The sequence below is a fragment of the Homo sapiens genome, chromosome 7, assembly GCF_000001405.40.
Source record: "Homo sapiens chromosome 7, GRCh38.p14 Primary Assembly".
NCBI lineage: Eukaryota > Metazoa > Chordata > Mammalia > Primates > Hominidae > Homo > Homo sapiens.
Genome location: NC_000007.14, coordinates 93,303,348 through 93,322,638, shown reverse-complemented (window position 1 = coordinate 93,322,638; position 19,291 = coordinate 93,303,348). Strand labels below are relative to the sequence as shown.

Sequence of the window (19,291 nt, the reverse complement as noted above, 5' to 3'; positions counted from 1 at the left end):
TTTTAAATTGGTACTATTTTTTTTTTTTTTTTTTTTTTTGAGACGGAGTCTCGCTCTGTCGCCCAGGCTGGAGTGCAGTGGCGCGATCTCGGCTCACTGCAAGCTCCGCCTCCCAGGTTCACGCCATTCTCCTGCCTCAGCCTCCCGAGTAGCTGGGACTACAGGCGCCCGCTACCACGCCCGGCTAATTTTTTTGTATTTTTAGTAGAGACGGGGTTTCACCGTGTTAGCCAGGATGGTCTCGATCTCCTGACCTCGTGATCCGCCCGCCTCGGCCTCCCAAAGTGCTGGGATTACAGGCGTGAGCCACCGCGCCCGGCCTAAATTGGTACTATTAAAGACATCATGACTCAAAACACATTTACTGCAGTACAAGAAATGACAAATGTACTCCAAAGGAAATGTCTACTATCAAAACCATTTAAGAACTCAGTACGTCTTTCTTAATTTATGTGAGAAATGATTTTAAATAATAGATGGTCAAGAAGAGAAACACAAATACAAATATACATCAAAACACAGTAAAAACTACTCAACTCAGATTTATTCTTATTCCTATTTTAAAATTCTTCTGTTTCACAATCATCCTTTGCAATTATTTCACACAGACTTTTTTTGAAAAATCACATTTGAAAAATAATTGAAATATACTGCTCCTAAAACACTCTGGATCATTATGCAGGTATTTCCTCAGCTACAAAACATACGGTTACTTAAGCTACTACTTGTTAACATATAAAATAATGCAACACTGTGAAGAAAAAATAATATACTACATTACTCAGTTAAAAACAAAAAAACAAAGATGAATAAGTAGAATGAGGTAGAATGCAAATAAGTAGGCTGGCATGCATCTAGAACACGAGGTCCTCTCCATTCCCGAAAAGATTAACCATCGTTTATATACCTAATCTTGAAAAAGGATATAAAAATCGATTATTAATAGGTAAAGGCGATTTTAAATGTGTATTCAGAAGAAAAAAATAGCTGTTCCTCACCACCTTGAAAAGAAAATTCAAACATAAGGATATTAATTTATTCATTCAACAAACGCGTTTTGAAGGCTTACTATATACTTGGCCTTGTATTAAGGAACAAGGAATTACACAGAGTCCCGGCTGTTGCACCTTAAAAGTCATACATGGAAGACAATAATCAATAAGCAGATCATCAGTATATTACAGAGTATAAGAATGAGGACTCTGTCTTTCCAGTTCAAGAGGACAGAACAGGCAGACAGCAGACGTTTGGAGGCTTGAGGAGGCTTATATGCCTCCTCAGATCTTACTGAATTAAAAGAGAACATTACAATGAATTAATTCCTTATCTATGAAGAGAAGAGGGTGAGAAGGCGAGGCTGGTAGGTTTGAGCACAAGAAAATGAAAAATGTCAAAACATTTCTAGACCAGAGGTTGGCAAACTTTTCCTGTAAAGGACCCAAGAGTAGATAGTTTAGGCTTTGCATACCGCACAGTCTCTGTGGCAACAATTCTGCTCTGCTGTCTTCTGTTTCAACTGCTCAACTATGCCACTGTAGCACAAAAGCAGCTACAGACAGACAATATGCAAACAAATGAGCATGGGTGTGCCAATAAAACTTTATTTACAAAAACAAGCAGCCAGCAGCTCAAAACATTTGACATCTCAAAACGTCTGTTGTAGATGACAGACAGTAGATGGGAACACGTTGATGGAAAAACATAAGCCAATAAAACCATAAGAGGGCCAAAAAGGAGGTGGAAGCTATTCACTAGGACAGTAACTACTTAGAATCAAGCTGGAACTGCAGGAGTCAGAAACGGGGCTGAAAAACGATCAAGCTACAGGTTCACATATGGGACAAACTGTAACAGTCTGCATTCCCCACCACCACCATTCCCCTCTCCTCTCCAGCAGTTAGAGGTGTAGGCTGCTAGAATTTACCCATAAAACAAAATAGAAACCCTTAAGGTTCCTCTCTAAAAGAAATGATAAGCTGGGAGCGGTGGTTCATGCCTGTAATCCCAGCACTTTGGGAGGCCGAGGCGGGCGGATCACGAGGTCAGGAGATAGATAGAGACCATCCCCGCTAACACGGTGAAACCCCGTCTCTACTAAAAAAAAGAAAATACAAAAAATTAGCCGGGCGTGGTGGCGGGCGCCTGTAGTCCCAGCTACGCGGGAGGCTGAGGCAGGAGAATGGCTTGAACCCGGGAGGCGGAGCTTGCAGTGAGTGGAGATGCGCCACTGTACTCCAGCCTAGGCAACAGAGTGAGACTCCGTCTAAAAAAAAAAAGAAAAAGAAAAAAAGAAATGATAAACTGAAAAAAAAAAAAGACGGGGGGCAAACGAACTTAAAAAAAAATAAAAAATTGAAAAGCTAAGGCTTCTACCTTATTCTGGGATTTAGAGAATCAGTCCCCATAAAGACTGCCAGTAAATCTACCCAAGCCCTTTCCTATATTTCACACAAAGTTCCGAGTCCGAATTTCTACTGAAGAGAAAGAGCCAGCTCGAACATAGTTCTAATTACTCACAAGAAACCCACAATGGCTTGTAAGCCTTCTATTTTAAATCTAAATAGCTAATCAAAAATCACCAGGCACACAAAGAAAACTCAGAGTGTGAAAATGAAAAGTTGATCCCAAAAGAAACAGAATAATTCAAGCTAAAAAGAAATATAATAATTAAATTTCTCAGTAATAAAAGATTATCCAAAAAAGAATATAAAAGACTTCTTAAAAGTAAAAATATAATATTTAAAATAAAAAGTTAAATTAAGTCTCCTAAAAGGTACAGCAAAAGACAATACTGTGGGAAACATTTGAGAAAATAGATATAAAGGACCAATTTGAGTAATGGAGGAAATTGTTTTAAAAAGAGAGAACAGAGAAAATACAGAGGTGGAAATTATCAAAGAAATACTAGTGTCAGTAATAGTTGAGGAACACAGGAGCCTTCAGATCAAAAGAGTCCACATACTATCAAACACATTGAAAATGAAATCATAGCTAGACACATCAACATAAAATTCTGGATCAAGGAAACAAATATTAAAAGTTTTCAAAGAGAGAGAAATTCATCTGCAACAGAATAGAATGCTAGAAGTTCCAGTTCTGAAGAAAATAATTTTTAATCTACAAGTCTATTCATAGCTAAATTGTCATTCAAGTGAAAGAGAAAAAAAAAAGACATTTTCAGACTGACACGAATTCAAACATTTACTTCTCATCAGCCTTTTCTGGGAAATAACTAGACCATAGGGAAGAGATACACAGAGGGACTGGCCAAGAAACCAAGTAGCAGCATGGACAAGAACTAGAAACAAGAGAACGAACAGTGGGCCTGCCTTAGCCAATTCATCAGTGGGAGACACAGAGAGAAGTGTGGTTCCCACACTTGAACCCTTCAAATACATTAGCAAGTTTGTAAATGCAGAAGTTTAATTTACTGTGTTTTTTTTCTGTGACTATATCTGATTATATATTCAGAGGAAAAGGAATAGGATATTGGCATCTTCCAAAAAAAGGAATGAGAAAGATATGTTCTTTGCACCTTGTGGATATTGAGCTCTTGAATGATACAGTGATAAAGAAATGTTCTTGGCCTCTGACCCAAGATTTCACAGGGCTAGGATTCAGGGGAATGGGCCGTACCTTGTGTGTATCATTTTTCCTCTTGCTTTTCTACTTTTGCTATATATGAATAAGCTTATAAAAATAAATATTTTCTTAAATATATTTTATTTTACTCTATTAAACTTACACATTTTCAAAGAAATTATTTTAAATTGAAACTCCTAGAAAAGAGAACCGATGTTGTTTGTTTGTACAGTGTCATTTGTAAAAGAGTGTAGGAGTTCCATAAAAATGCTGGAAACATGGGGGAGAAATTTTTTCCATTGTGGATATGACAAGAGAGAAAATGAGTTTCTCCTATATTGAAGATTTTTAAAAATTAAGGTTTGTCAGTCCAACATCTATTGGGTTCCTACAAAAGTAAAAAGCACTTGGCCAGGTGCCACATATAGATGCTACAAAAATGATTTAAGGCTCTCTTCTATAGGGGTTTATAATCTGATGGGACACAAGCAGGAATAGATTCTGAGTTGGAAGAATATTCATTATTTTATTTCAGTACACTAATTTGAGACACCATCAATGAATATAAATGGCATATAAAGCCATAATAGCACATAAGACAAACTGGAAAAGCTATAAAAGAGGCGTAAAGGAAAGTTGGTTCAGCTTGGGCAATTCAGAAAAAGGTACTGAATAATGAAGTGAAGACCAGAGTAAAAAATCAACAAGTCCATTACCTAAGTGCCTGGCTACCAGGTTTATTTTTTAAATATTATATCTCAGCCCCCCAAATCTCCAATGTTGTTTTCTTGTGACATGTACTGAGGGATGGTGCTTTTGGGATTATCCTCTCAAAAGATCAGGCTGTACATAAAGCTAGCAACTCAGAAAATATTTTTAAATGTTAAAAATATAAATTCATGTAAATAATATCTAAATATATGTTATCTCATAGTATTATCCTATTAGTATATAGATAACATATAGTATGTATTATATAATATATCATTATTATATGATTATAAACAGAAATACTAGAATGTAGTTTAAAGTGAATGACAAACTTTTTTTCCTTAAACATTACATATGAAAATATTTTTTTCTTAAACGATAACTTAATCATAAAACATGGTTTTAAAATTTCAAAACACATAAGAAAGTATTGTGATACTTCTGTAAGACTGCACTTATGACTTCAATGAACTCTATAACTTTATCCAAGTATCCGAAACAAGGATACTTTAAAAACAACTTATTCAAAAAAACAAAAGAAGCTACTATTTTAATTATCTGTTATGTAATCAAGAATTTTCCTGTTAAATACACATTGTTTTACATTTCAATTAGGAAAATAACAGAAAGGAACCAATGGTTCTCAAAGTGTGGTCCCTAGACAAGCTGCATCAACATTACCTGGAAACTTGTTAAAGGTGCCCGTTTTCAGGTTATACCCTAGACCTACTGAATCAGATACTCTGGGAGTGGGGGACAGCAATCGGTGTTTTGTTTGTTTGTTTATTTGAGACAGAGTCTTGCCCTGTCACCCAGGCTGGAATGCAGTGGTGCGATCTCAGCTTGCTGCAACCTTGGCTTGCTGCAACCTCTGCCTCCTGGGTTCTCATGCCTCAGCCTCCCAAGTAGCTGGGATTACAGGAGTGCCCCACCACATCTGGCTAACTTTTGTATTTTTAGTAGAGACAAGGTTTTGCTATGTTGGCCAGGCTGCTCTTGAACTCCTGACCTTAAGTGATCCATCTGTCTTGGCCTCCCAAAGTGCTGGGATTACAGGTATGAGCCACCAAACCTGGCCAGCAATCTGTGTTTTAACAAGCCCTCTAGGTGATACTGACGCATGCCAAAATTTAAAAATCAAAGGCTAGATCACCATAAAAGATGAATAAAGCAATAAAGCACAGTCCTTCTTTCTTCTTGATAGGCCCTCATGCCTTGGTTTTCAAGACCTCTGCTTCACCTCCTAATTTTCCTCCTGCCTTTCTGCTGTTGATTCATGACCTTCTTCACTGACTGATCTTGCTGTTTGCCCTTCCAGTGTATCCATATCCACTGCTGTTTCCTAGGTTTCCACTCAGCTATCTTGTGTTGCATGTTTTTGTGTGTACTAAGTGGGTAGGAAGGATAGTAGAGCTTCTGTCTGGTTTTCTATGAACTCAAATTGTTAAGAGCCTCTGCCAAGATAAACTCATCCACTAACCTTTTGAGTTCATAGAAAATCAGACAGAAGTCCTAGTCCTTCCTAGTCATTTTAAAACAATGACTCAAATTATGTATCCTGATCATGTTTTTTCTCCTGACCTCCACATCCATCTATGTAACTACCTATAGACTATTTCTACTTAAATGTCCCAGAGGTACCTCTATATGTCCAAAGTCTACCCTACCATCAGCTCGGAAAACTTGGTCTTCCTCTCATCTTCCCTTTTTCATTTCTGGCATTATAACTGGTTAATCACACAAACCTAAAATCTGAGTGATCGCTCATCACTGATTCACCAATTCTGTCTGTTGTATTTCTAAAATCTCTCTAATCCATCTTCTTCTCTATATTACAATGGCCACTGCCATCCATATCCAGGCTTATGTCCTCATCATCCCTTGCCTGGGAGACTTCGACAGTCTGCCATCCAGTCTTTGACCTTCTCCAGTTTCCCCTTAGCCAAAGTCAATCCCTTATTTACACTTTTTTTAAAAACAGCAAATCTGCTGGGGTCTCTCCCCTGTTAGAAATCCCTTAAGGAGCTTATGTCCAAGCTGCATAGGACAGTCTTTGAGGCCTTCTCATATCCTGTTCTTGCCCATCTTTCTCGTCACATCTCCTCTGCTTCTGCCTCCAGGCCCCGTCATGTTTCTTACATTCCAGCAAACTAGACAACTGGAGTCTCTGAATACACCATGTCTTGCACATGTTCTTTCTGTCCAAAATGCCTTTACCAACTTCATCTATGAGAACCTATTCATCTTTCAAACTCAATTAGGGTGTCAGCCCCCATAGTGAGTCAGTCCTTTCACTTCCTACCCAAAAAGGAAAATTAATCATCATTCTTTCTCTTGCCTCTTTTCTGTTTATTTATGCTTATAACAACACACTGTAAATTTTTTTATTTTGTATTTATTTCCCTTGTTGAACTCCTTAAGTACAAAGTACAAAGACTATGGTTTCTTCATGACTGTAACTCCAACAGCTAGCCAGAAACAAAGTAGTGACTCAAAAAAAAAAAAAAAATCTGGTGGACTAAAACTAATGAATGCAATATACATGGCAAAAAAAGAACTGATTTCCTTAATGTTGAAATTAAAACCTATAATTTCCTTATTATATAAAAATGAGCAGTGGATATGAATAAGTAGTTCGCAAGTAAATAGAAATGTCTTTTAAGCATATGAAAAGATGCTTCAATTCACTCATAATTAAATACATTTTTGAATGAGATGCCATGTTTAACCTATCAGACTAGCAAGTACCCAAAGCTGGAGGATACACAGTGTTGCTGAGACTAAGAAAAGAGCTACCCTCAAATACTGCTAATGAATGAGTAATTTAACAGAACTCTTTTAGTAAGCTCGTTAGTAACCTCATTGGTAAATTGAGAATGTCCATCAAAACTGGAAATGTATATACTCTTTGATCCAGCGAGAGGAAGTATTTATAGGAATTTGTTCTATAGCTCTATCTGTATATACACAAAGATATTTCTTCAAGGATACTTGCTGTGGCAGTTTGTAGTATGAAATGACTTAACCTATATGTTGAAAAGTAGAAGATGTATAAATTGTGGCACTTATAATATTACATCTATACAATAGGAAAAAAGAATGAAATCCACACATACTAAGATAGGTAATACATTAAGATATTTTAAGTGTAACCTTAAGATATTTTAAGTAAAAAATCCAGATAAAAAACAGTATAAATAGTGTAATCCAATTTTTGAAACAAAACAACAACAAAAAAAAATAGGAGAGAGGAGATATACGTATTAAATATATTTGTACTAACACTAATGTTTCCAGAAGAAAACAGGAGAAACTGAGTCGTTTTGTCTGAGGAAGGAGACTTGCAGCTCAGGGGCTCTGCTTATACCTTGGGGTATTTTAATTTTTAACCATTTTTATGCATCACCTTTCAATTTAAAATGCTCAATGATAAAGAATATGCCAGCAAACTAAACTGCTGAGAAACTTCAGCAGTCTGTCATCTAGTATTTGACCTTCCCCCAATGAAAAGAATGTCCTAATGAAGGAGTGGATCTCTTGTCTCCCATGCCTGTGTTCTCTCCACCACATAAGCTGCATCTCAGGCACATTATACCTAAATATCCCTTAGATGCACATATCCTAGTTTCATTTTAAATACTGATGCATGTGCTAGGGTGCTAGGGTATATTTTTTCTAGCTACTAAAGTGGTAATTTTGTTGTTGTCGGCAGTTCTTACAAGCATGGACTTCGGTAATCTAGCTCCTGCTCCTCAGACCTATCACACCTGCTCACAAGCTGCTTCCAGGAGAGAGAACCGTGAATACCAAGGCTATTTCACTGATGAGACACATTTCCTAAAATTTCTCTTTCACTGTCTGCAAGAAACCATCAGGATGACAGAATTTTCTCTTTATATAATACAAGCAACTGTTCTGATCAGTCCTCTCCACTAGTGCAAAGCCTCCCTGAGCCTTTCTAATAAATTTAGTTACCACCTGGGGTAAGGAAGCCCCATTAACACTCTTTTGTTTACGCTCTGCTAATTATCTGCCAAGTAAATACTACTTGAAAAGGACATTTTAAATATGCCTTTAATGTTCTAATATGGTTTCCCAAATACTCAATAATTAGTTCCTTCATCTTCTCAAGCACCAAAAATTAATCTGTCTTATTTACACAACCGTACTTCTCCCTTTGTAGGAAGAAGCATGACCTCTGCCAGTTTATAATCTTCAGGCACTTCTATGCAATAACAACAGCGGATGGAATAGTGCATTTGCTAGTCAGAGGCCTCTGAGACAGTGGCTTCCTTAAAGTTCTGTTTTGTATATATCTAAAAACTGAAGATAAAAACATCCCAGGGAGAGAGAAAATGATAGGCATAAAAGTCTACTGGGGATCCCAACTGGGGTGATAATGGCAGCACCTAATCCCAGTCCTAAATGAGAAGATATAAAAGTTAAATTGTCATACTCGGCATTGTTTCCTAATTGCAAGTCCAGTAAAAGATATGGTAGTGGAGAAAGCTGAAATTGCAATAGTCAAATTCTCTTCACAGAGTAAGGCTTTATTCAGGACTGTGCCATACTTTACTTTACTTTAAAGGGTCTTGAATGTGGCTTTTCTCAGTTCCTACAAACCCACTGTTCAAAAGCAAGGCCCACTATGTTGATCAGTAATCCTCATACAAAAATTTGTTGTTACTAACATCTGAATTCAGCACCAGGAACATATTTCTACCATTATTATAAAGGCCTGTATCTTTTTCTCAGATAACGAGGATAGTGGTATATATTGTTTCTTCAATTCCCTTATGCCTACCAAGAAGTTAAGCATTGTATTTGATGTCTGCATTAAATATGATATGATAAAGCATGATGTGCCCACTCTTCAACTTTGTCTTAGCCTTGTATTTTATTTTATTTGATTATAATGAAAATATGCCTTCAGCGTAAACAGCAACATGACTACCTCCAGCCCCTTTTGAACTAGGTAAGGTAAAAAATATAAACAACTGCTTAGATGTGTTTGATTATATTATTTTTCCCAATTCCCTGTAAGAGCAATATACAGCCCTGCCCACTTCCCTTGACTTGCAGTGCTTCCTGCGGCAGAAGCATACTTCTCCCCTCCCTTTGCCAAGCCTGACTTGCTTTGGCCATGACATGTCAGAGGAAGTCAAGGGTGACACATGGAAGCAGAAGCTTCAGGAGTCATAACATAGTTTGCTTTTGCTCTTCTCCCCATGTTCCAGATTGGTTGGTACTATTCTTTCAACCTACATCTTAGAATGAAGAGACACACGGAGCAGAGCTGCATATAAACAGGAGACAATGCGTATCACGAGTGAAAAATAAAACTTTGTGGTTGAACGTCTTGATGCACCAACAGTTGCTTGTTACTTCAACATAATCTAGCAAAAGCTGACTACATCTCAAGGAATGTGTTCGGACATTGAAAACTGCTGAGTCTAGAAGGCTAAGGAGGATGACAATGATTCTGAAAGGTCTGAATTTCTATCAGTGAGGACAAGATAAAGGAACTGAGCCCATGGAGCCTGAAAAATGGATTGTGGGGTGGTCGGTATGAGAAAAGGAAGCACGATAACTACCACCACATATCTGAAAAGTGATCACATGGAAGAATAGAAGAATTAGAAGAAATGGAAGATAGAGGAAATAGAAGAATAGAAGAAATAGAAGATAGAAGAAATAGAAGAATAGAAGAAATAGAAGAAAAAAATGCACGAACTTATTCTTCTTGCTTCTAAGGGCATAACTCTTAGACCAAAAGGACAAACCAAAGGCTAGAATCACAGAGAGACAGGTTTTGGTTTACCTTAGGGAAGATACTTCTACTAATGAGATCAGTCTAATGATAGAATGAGTAGTCTTGCAAACCACTGTGTTTCCAATGACTGGGAGTCATGAAACAGAAGCTAGACAGCTACCATGTATGAGAGACATTACAGAAAGACAACCGACTTCATGGCAACTTACACCAATGACCACTCAGCACTCTCCCAATTCTGATTCTACAAATTCTCGAGAGTTATTTCTGACACTATGTTCAGTCAGTTCTCTTGGAAGAAGAAGAAAAGCTTAGCTCCCTGGCAATAATTAGCCACAGAATAGCTTTTTAGAATCTATCCTTTTTTCTGAGCATCATGAAAAGGTATACCTTTCTGTTCTTCTCAATTCAGTAATATTTTTTGCTCTTTCTAGAGAAACCGTGACTCCTAAAAAGCATTCTGTACATTTTATCCTATTCATTAATTAAATTTAAGAATTATCTTAAAGAACACAGACTATTTCAACAGAGCTAAGGTTAATCAAACTAGGCAATAGGTAAATACCATCTCCATAGATAGAATATAGAGATTTTTATGGAAAACCACTAAAATTCCTGCTTGGAACAATGAAGTTTAATAGGAGAAGACATCTCTATAACTTATTTGTCAAATACATAGACTTATTTGTGAGATACAAAGGCTAAAAGCATACAAGATGTTGAAATACTGATTTTAAAAAAATCCACATCATCCTAAAACCTGAATATTTAAAATATCATTTCTTCATATTGTTTGCCTTCTACAAAATCATCAATAAAGGTCTTATCTGTTACAAAAACAACATTTCCTATAATCTGAACATTTAGCTTGTAAATCCCTTGTGTCTGAAAATGCCAGAAAGTCACTATTCACTCTGCCTGACAGAAGATGGTAAAGACCTATGAAACAACTAAGTACAAAAATATTGTATAAATGTGAAACTGGTACTAACTTATCTTACACATACCTCTAACCTACCTAGAGAATTTTTCATCGCATTTCAATTAACTGAAATATTTTAGAAAAATTGTAAGATACAAAGACTTAATAAACAGGTAACTGAAAAAGAAAAACTGGCATTACTATTAGTATTATAGTATTTGGAACATTTAAAATGAGAAGCATTGACATATGATAACCTTAAATCCCTCATTGCATAGAGCACTGGAGTATACAAGACAATAAAAACCACAAGTAAAAGTCATTCGGTAACAAACTAATTTAACTGTTATAATTTTTTTTAAAGGTGTAGCTACTTACCAACAAGTCTTATGACGTTCAATGTTGTATTTGTTAAGATAGGTGCATTCACTTTATTTAGACTGTAATCTGATTTCTTCCTGCTTTTTAGAGTTTCCCGAGAAACACTTGATATGGAAAAACAAAACAGAGTTGCTAGAGTTGTCAAGTAATAAACCAATAAGTTAGTCAGATAGGTCCCTAGCCTTTATTAACTAATTATTTAATGAAAATCTTACTATGCATTAGGTAAAGATATAGAAATTAACTTCTTATAAAATTTACAATCCATAAGGGAAATAAGTAAGCAAAAAAATAAAGTACCATAATGCATTTCTTCGATTATAAAACATTATCAACCACTAAAAAAGCTACATCTCTTTAAAAAACTGATTTTCCAGGATAATAATACATCTAGGTGCAAATGTACTGTTTCTTGATTTCAGAAACTTATGAAAAAATACCCTCCTAAGAACGTGAATTAAGTACAGAATATTGATGGCAGTATTTGGGGTTACGGGGCAGCATAAGGTTCAAAAGAAAAGTAAAAGCTATATGGTCAGCACAGAAAAAAGGGCCGGCATAAAATAGGGTCAGAGATAAGAGAGAACAGAGTGCGCTCAGAAAAGTACAAGGAGTTCACCACGTTCGCATGTAGAAGAAGTGAACAGAGGGAAAAGTGACAAGAAAGGAGGCAAGTAAAGGCCAGATATCTCTGAAAGCAATCAAACCTGAGGGATATGAACCTTATCTTGAACACAGTGGTGAGTCACTAAAAGCTAAGCAGAAAAACAGCATGATTAAATTTGTAACTATGAAAAAAAAAACCCCTAAATTTAGATCTAAGAGTTGTTTGGAATGGGGCAAGCCTAGAGACAAGAATCCAAGGTAAAGGAGTTGATTTAATAATCTGGCACAGAGATAACTTTGGCATAAACTAGAATGGTAGTGGTAAAATACAAGAAAAATTGGTCAATTCAAGAGACACAAGTTAGAACTGATAATATCTATTAATTTATTGGCTTCAGTTACTAATTTGTTCAATTCAAACTTCTTAAGGGTAAAAAGTTTAGGGGGCTCCAGTAACCCTACCAAAAATGGAGGTATATACACATGTACTGGCAGACACTATCTTACTTGTACATTTCAATTCAAATAGACCTTTCCTTTTGGCCAAAATATTCCCAAAACACATCTAATAAAGAATTCCAACAAAATAGTTCTATTCAGTTCACAGTAGATCATGCTGACACTTAATATCATACATACGCAAAAACCAATAGAACAAATTTTTTCAATTAAAATAGCTACAACTACGTGAATTGCTCACTTTTGAAAACAGAATTATTTCAGTCGAGATTTCAAGTTAAACAGTATTAAATAGGTAGCTTAGGGTTAAACGATAAGAATATACTTATCATTAAGAATCTATCATTAAGAAATCTATCATTAAGCAAAAAGTATATCTATAGTCACTAAATGTATGATAGTCATGAAATCAAGTCATTTTAACATTCCAGAATCAGGCCCATTTAACTGGCAAAAGGTAAGAAAAAATTCTCTTATAATTATCATAGTTTTGAAGAGGTCAGTTTATCATAAAACAAAACTCAACCACTAATAGGACACCTTGATAGAAGGTTCAAATAGTGAACAAAAATGACATAGGGGAAATAAGTGGCGACTTTCTGTGTTTATAAGATTGAAGCAAGAACTCCACATACAAAACAAATGACCATTTTCTCCTTGAGGATTTTTATTTATCTATGTAAAGCATAAATGGCCACCAAAGGCAGGATTGATTTTATAAATCTAAAGGCTTTTTCCTCTGCAAAAACTAATCTCTTTGATTATGCCCAATATTTTCAACAAGATAATAAAGTAATTTTAACAGATTTAAACAAATCACTAACTTTGTGATACCATAAAAAAGGAACTAGAATCTTGCTACAAAAAGCAATGTCAAACAAACTGTATAACTCAAAGGAAAGCTACATTAACACTAGCCACTTAAAAGTTTTTAAATGGCTAAATCAATTTCTTTTTTGACACATTAACAATCCAGTTCACAGTTAGATGAACTGATCTGTGAGATACCAGCAAAGGTTTTGCAAGGCAGAACTTTTCATATAACTATTTTAGTTTTCCTGAAATTCAGTTATGAAATGTTAAGAGGAACAACACATTTTTAGCCTTCCAGGAATCATTTTTTAAAACATACTAACTTCTGTCAGGTGACATTATAAGTACCAAAAAAAATAATTTTTGTTTCTTCTTAACCTTAAAGGAAATCCTATATGTTAAGAGCACAAGATAAAATGCTAAATACCACACAATTTAAGAACAATCACCTTTTCACAGGACCATCTCCTGTCTGCTCATCCACATAGTCTCGTTTGAGTTCCTCAGGAACATCACTGTCACTGTCATACTCTTGATAGGCACTCTTTTCTTGTTCATCAGATTCATACTGAAGAAAACACAGGTTATTAAAAAATGAGTATAAAGGGCCTCTTTTCGTGGGGTGTCTCAACACAGTGAAAGTACTCAGTTTTATAAGAAACAGCTAAATACAAGAAAATTCTTAATTTAGCTTTAATGTTGTCACCAAGAATCTAATTATTCTTCCATTGTCTTCATCATTCTACCTCAATCAGCACAAAAGAAAAATATTACACCTATAAAAGCTTGAAAATGTGCAACAAAATCAAATCGCCATAAACCAAAACCTAACAAACATTCCACTAGGCCTAAAGAGTATACATTCGCATTTTTTTTTCTTAAAGTCTCTCAGAAGTTTCACCATACTTATTTCCAATTTGCTAATAAAACTCATTAAAAAGAGGTTCAGTATCCAATTCTGGCATTCTGGAAGTATTACTTCAGCTTAATAAACACATGCAACACACATGCTGATGTTCTAATTCACTATAAAATTTAATTCCGAGGGCAGCTTAGAAAATTAAGCTTAGAACACAGGGACCTGCTGAGAATGAGGACAAAAATGGTGGATTTACTCTTGAGACAAAGGGTGTCTTCCTAACATTTTCATCATCTTTATGGCACCATGGCCCAATGCCAGCATGGGAAAGACAGTGGAATTCATGCACACAGTAAAGGAAGCAGTGACAGCACTTTCATCATCATCATCATCATCATCATCATCATCATCATCTATTAATGTCATAGATTAATACGATTAAATGGCTAACATTAATATCATTAAGTAATAGCTAACACTGAGTTTTTAACCAAGTATTATGCTAAGTGCTTTCATGAATTATCTCATTTAATCATACAGACACTTCTATGAGGAAGTTTTATCTCCACATGACAGTTGAGGAAACCAGTATGATAACAACATGGAAAGAATTTAGCCCCCTAATTCAACAACTATTTTTTGAGAGTCTGTTAATAAAAAGCACTATGAAAGGTCGTATTTAAATGTGGACCCTGATTCTCAAGGACATAAGTTGCACCTGGAAAGATCAGATCACACATTAATAACTGCAAACAAGCCTTACAGGTACTCCTTTATACTTATACACAATGTGATCCTGATGCTATGCAGAAAGGTATTCTACATAAACTAGGATGTCCTGATTACAACAACAGAGGTTTGTGACCACACCGTATCATAGATACTCATTATTTGAGGATTCAATGTTTGCAAATTTGCCTACTCACTGAAATTTATTTGTAACCCTAAAGTCAATACTTCTGATATTTTTGGAGTCAGTCATAAACGTGCAGAACAGTGAAAACTTTGAGTCATCCAACATGCATGTTCCCAGCTGAATACAAACAAGGCATGCTCTGCCTTCTTGCTTAGGCTCTCATACTATAAACAAGTTTCCTTTTCTTGACCTATTTAGTGCCAAGTGCTTTGTATTTTTGTGCTTTTTGTTGGTGATTTAACTGTTTAGAATGCCACTGCAAGTGTTGCGTTGAAGTGCTGTCTAGTGTTTCTAAGTACAAGAAGGCTGTGATGTGCCTGAGAAACAAAATATGTGTGTCTGATAAGCTTCATTTAGGCAAGAGTTACAGCGTTGTTGGCTATGAATTCAGATTATGTACTGATGGGCTGATAAACATGTCGTAACCCGAGGCTCACAGGAACCTAATCCTATATTTGCTCTGGGAGTAATGGTTCAGTATTTGCTAATTTAGTATTCACAGCAACTTTATAGAACACACTGCTGCAAATAATGAGAATCAAATGCTATCTAAGTTTTAATTAATGAATCACTTTTATAGAGAGATATATTATTCCAAAATAATTGGAATGACTTTAAATTCCTCTCGGTTAAGCCAACTTCACAGAGGCAAAATGTCACAAAGAATCACTGAATCATAATTTTAAATATGGCTTACTATGAAACAATTTAAACTTAATGAATTTTGTCTTCACCAAATGAAAAATAAATTCTAAAACTAACATAAAATATAAAGACAAATCCTTCAACATATTTTGTCACATCTGAATGGTTTTCACTTTAGCTTCATCAAATCAAAAATAAAAATCATATTGGGTCATTATGGAAATTATGAAGATCAGAAGAAACCATCAAACAAAATATTAAGTCAAGTAAAATACTGTGAAAACACCATGCAGGAACTGTGAAGCAAGCATTCCTCTCCCTGTAAATATGGAGAAACTGAGGGTCACAAAGTTAAAATAATTTGCCAAGGGCCACACAGCTGATAAATAATAAAGATGATATTCATTATTTGCCTTCAAATCCTTTCCACTAACTCACACTACGTCTAGTTAATATTGTTTTTGAGGTCCTCAAAGTGTTGTTAAAACATTGTACTTCTAAATCTCAAAAAATATCCCTGCCAGGCAACTATGCAAGACATTACCACTTTCTCTTAGATAAAGGGACATGGAACAAAATGAATCAGTGACCCATAAAGGGTGTCGAGAAAAAGGGTAGATGATATCTATTCCGTCATCTCACAATATATCACATAATATTCACATAATATATCACGTAAATATTCAGTGAAGAAATTACACTACTACTTGATTAGCAACCTGATAAGAACATCATGTAATAAGAACATAAAGCAAACATAAAGGGAAAATTTACTATTCAAGAGGACAAGGTCAACAAAGCATATTGTAAAGTCATCATCTATAAATGTAATAGCATAGGTACATTAAGTATACAGGCAGGCAGGGTGGTAGTAAATGGATACGTAAATGTAGTGAATTGCCTTGTTCATTGAGTAGAACAGTTTTAAATAAAAAAAACTCACTTATGTTTCACATACACCACATACCCCATTAGAAGCTAAGACATCTTCTGTTTCTTCATCTTTGTGGTTGGCCTGAATTTCAAATGGATTCCCACCACTACAGTACTGCTCAAACAAGGTCACTGTTTTTGAAGAAGTTGAGACTGGCTGTTTACTAGGTGAAACTGATGGGGAGCGAGACTGTTCCATGAATTTAAATTCCTAGATGTTAAAAAAGGAGCCAGATACCCTTTAGCAACAATAAAATTCTAGTACATAAACCGAATCCCTCAATATACATGTAGAGTTAGTAGAAAAACAACATCTTGATCTTCAGTTTATTGACTTTTAAATCTTTCAAGTTATCTAAAAGCACAAACTTGGAAATACACATCTAAAGGTTTTCCTAAAGACAACTCAGTGAATGGTATCACTTAAAACAGTATCATCTGCATCAAGCTACTTTTGGCTTCCTTTAAGAAACTGCAGAGATCATTTTTTAAAATAGCTTAAGAAATCTGAATGATGTCTTCTAAAAATTTTAACAGAACAGCAAAAATCCTAATCAATAAAGTCATTTATGAAAACTAATTGTTAAACACTTCTCTTTTTCATATGCTTGCACCACTTAAGATATTCTGTACAAATACATCAGAAATAAAGTATGAAGTACATATCTGTGTTACATTGACGCCTACAAACTTTCATTTACTTTTCGCTATATACCAAGAAACAGACAACACAAACATATATGCCAAAGTCATATGATGTGTCTTCTACTCCTAGCTAAGCTAAAGAGTTGTAAGACCCAGTCTAAGTCATGCATTAACCACATGAGGAAACTGAGGCAGTCTGAAGGGATTCAGTGCAAAGTTCAACATCACACAGCTAATTAGAGGAAAAGTTGGAATAATCTCTAAAGTTCCTTTGAATTACAAAAATCTTGATTTAATGATTTATCACAAAATTTAACAAACATTTTTCTTTTATCTAAACAGAATAATCCCAAATTTAAATTTATTCATTTTCAATGATATTCTTCAAAGGTATTCTTAAAATTCTTGAAAGGTACATTGGCTTGTTGTATTAAATGATATATGTGTTTATTTTCCTTTTGCATTTCAACTATACATTTAATCATATATATTATAATGCCTAAGAATCATGCCATTATTTTTATAATTCTAAATAAGGAGTGAATATACATCAATGAGACTAATTTTTAGAAAATCAAATCCACATGAATGCATGTCAGGTGAACACTAAGCTGTGAATAGTTTTCAAGGTAACTACTTTAAAGGAGATAATGTTCACCTAGATGGGAATGCTTCAACATGCCTTTTTTAAAAAACATGTCTTACAATTATACTAAGTTTGACAACGTGACAGCACACACACACAGTCTGATGGTTAAAAAGGAGTTCAAATAAAATTATTTAATAGATATTCTAAAATTTATGTTAAACTTAGAATTCTAAATGATGTTAAGGAATTACCTTAAATCTTTGAGAATTCTTAAATCCTATGTTAATTTAATGTTAATGCTTATGTTAATACTAATTAACATTAACATTAATTTTGCTGTCTTTAAAGCATTTATTAATTGCTATGTTCCAGGGTTTTTAATATTTCTATAATAGGAAAACAATATAATAAAACTGGATAAGAAGCTATTATACAATATGAGCATAAAGACAATCCCTATCAAAAAAAAACTTGTAATTATGTATTCTTTACATTTATCCAGAATAAGAAAATTGCTTTCTAGAAAGCCACTCCTTCCAAAGGCAGAAACTAAACACACCATACTTTCTGAACAAGGATCTAACTATATGCACTGCATTTTGACACTTGATATTTCCAGAACACAATCTTTCACACAAGAATATTTATCTACAATGTGTTTCAACCAAGGGAAAAATCAAACCAATTAAAGACTTTTTCAAAGACTGCTTATTCTGTAAGTATTCCAGGAATTGATTAACTAATACAAATTAGTTAAGAGTATTTTTTATAAGTGCCTCTTTTATTTCTGAGGCATTTTTTCATTACAGGCAAATTTAAGAATTGCAGCACAAATTAGGAACCTACTAGTCCCTTTAAGAAATGAAAAATATTCTACAAATATAAATAAGCATTTGTATTAAACTATGCCAAAATATAGCTAATTGATTATCTGCAAAACTTAAATACAGCAGTCACCCTTTTCTGAATTCAAAACAAACAAAAAATATCATTTTAACTGTAACTCTTTTTAGGCAAAAGAGATTTCCTAAAGTATGTAAACTGAATTTTGTAAGACTGATTTTTCGCAACCATAAAAGGATCATTCCTTTAAAAAGAGGCTGGCTACTAATGACTTTCAAGGAAGGAAGATAAGAAACTGCTCCTTAATTTATTTTATAAATGTTTTCATATATTTCTGGATTTTTTTTTTCAAAAAAAAGGGTAAAATACATTACTAAAAGACAGATTTCTTTGTTCTTAAGAAACACTTACATGAAGTTGCAAGATGCTGAAATTTGACTTAACAGGACAAAGTTCCCAAGTCTCATTCTCTAAGAACATTCTCAGTTCATCGAGCCGTGTTCTTAAAAAAAGAAAATGAACACTCCAAAAAGTGAGAAGAAAAGTACACCGCACACAAGAATTGAGGAAATAATGTACAATACAAATAATTATAGGATTATTGTCATGATCAT

General features: G+C 34.7%; 1 protein-coding gene across 6 annotated transcripts in view; it reads right to left on the bottom strand.

Moving 5' to 3' along the window:
- Positions 1-19,291, bottom strand: part of VPS50 (VPS50 subunit of EARP/GARPII complex) — a 128,758-nt gene that overhangs the window by 38,485 nt on the left and 70,982 nt on the right. For 4 of the 6 annotated variants that reach the window (NM_001257998.2, NM_017667.4, XM_011516395.3 and 1 more), the window contains 4 exons: positions 19,089-19,179; positions 16,635-16,811; positions 13,697-13,815; positions 11,367-11,473 (listed from right to left, as the gene is read on the bottom strand). In NM_001257998.2, the coding sequence (NP_001244927.1) occupies positions 11,367-11,473; positions 13,697-13,815; positions 16,635-16,811; positions 19,089-19,179 (494 nt within the window). Of the gene's footprint in view, positions 1-1,581; positions 2,264-11,366; positions 11,474-13,696; positions 13,816-16,634; positions 16,812-19,088; positions 19,180-19,291 lie in introns of those variants that run through there. The other 2 variants (XM_011516396.4, XM_047420601.1) reach the window with 2 other exon arrangements.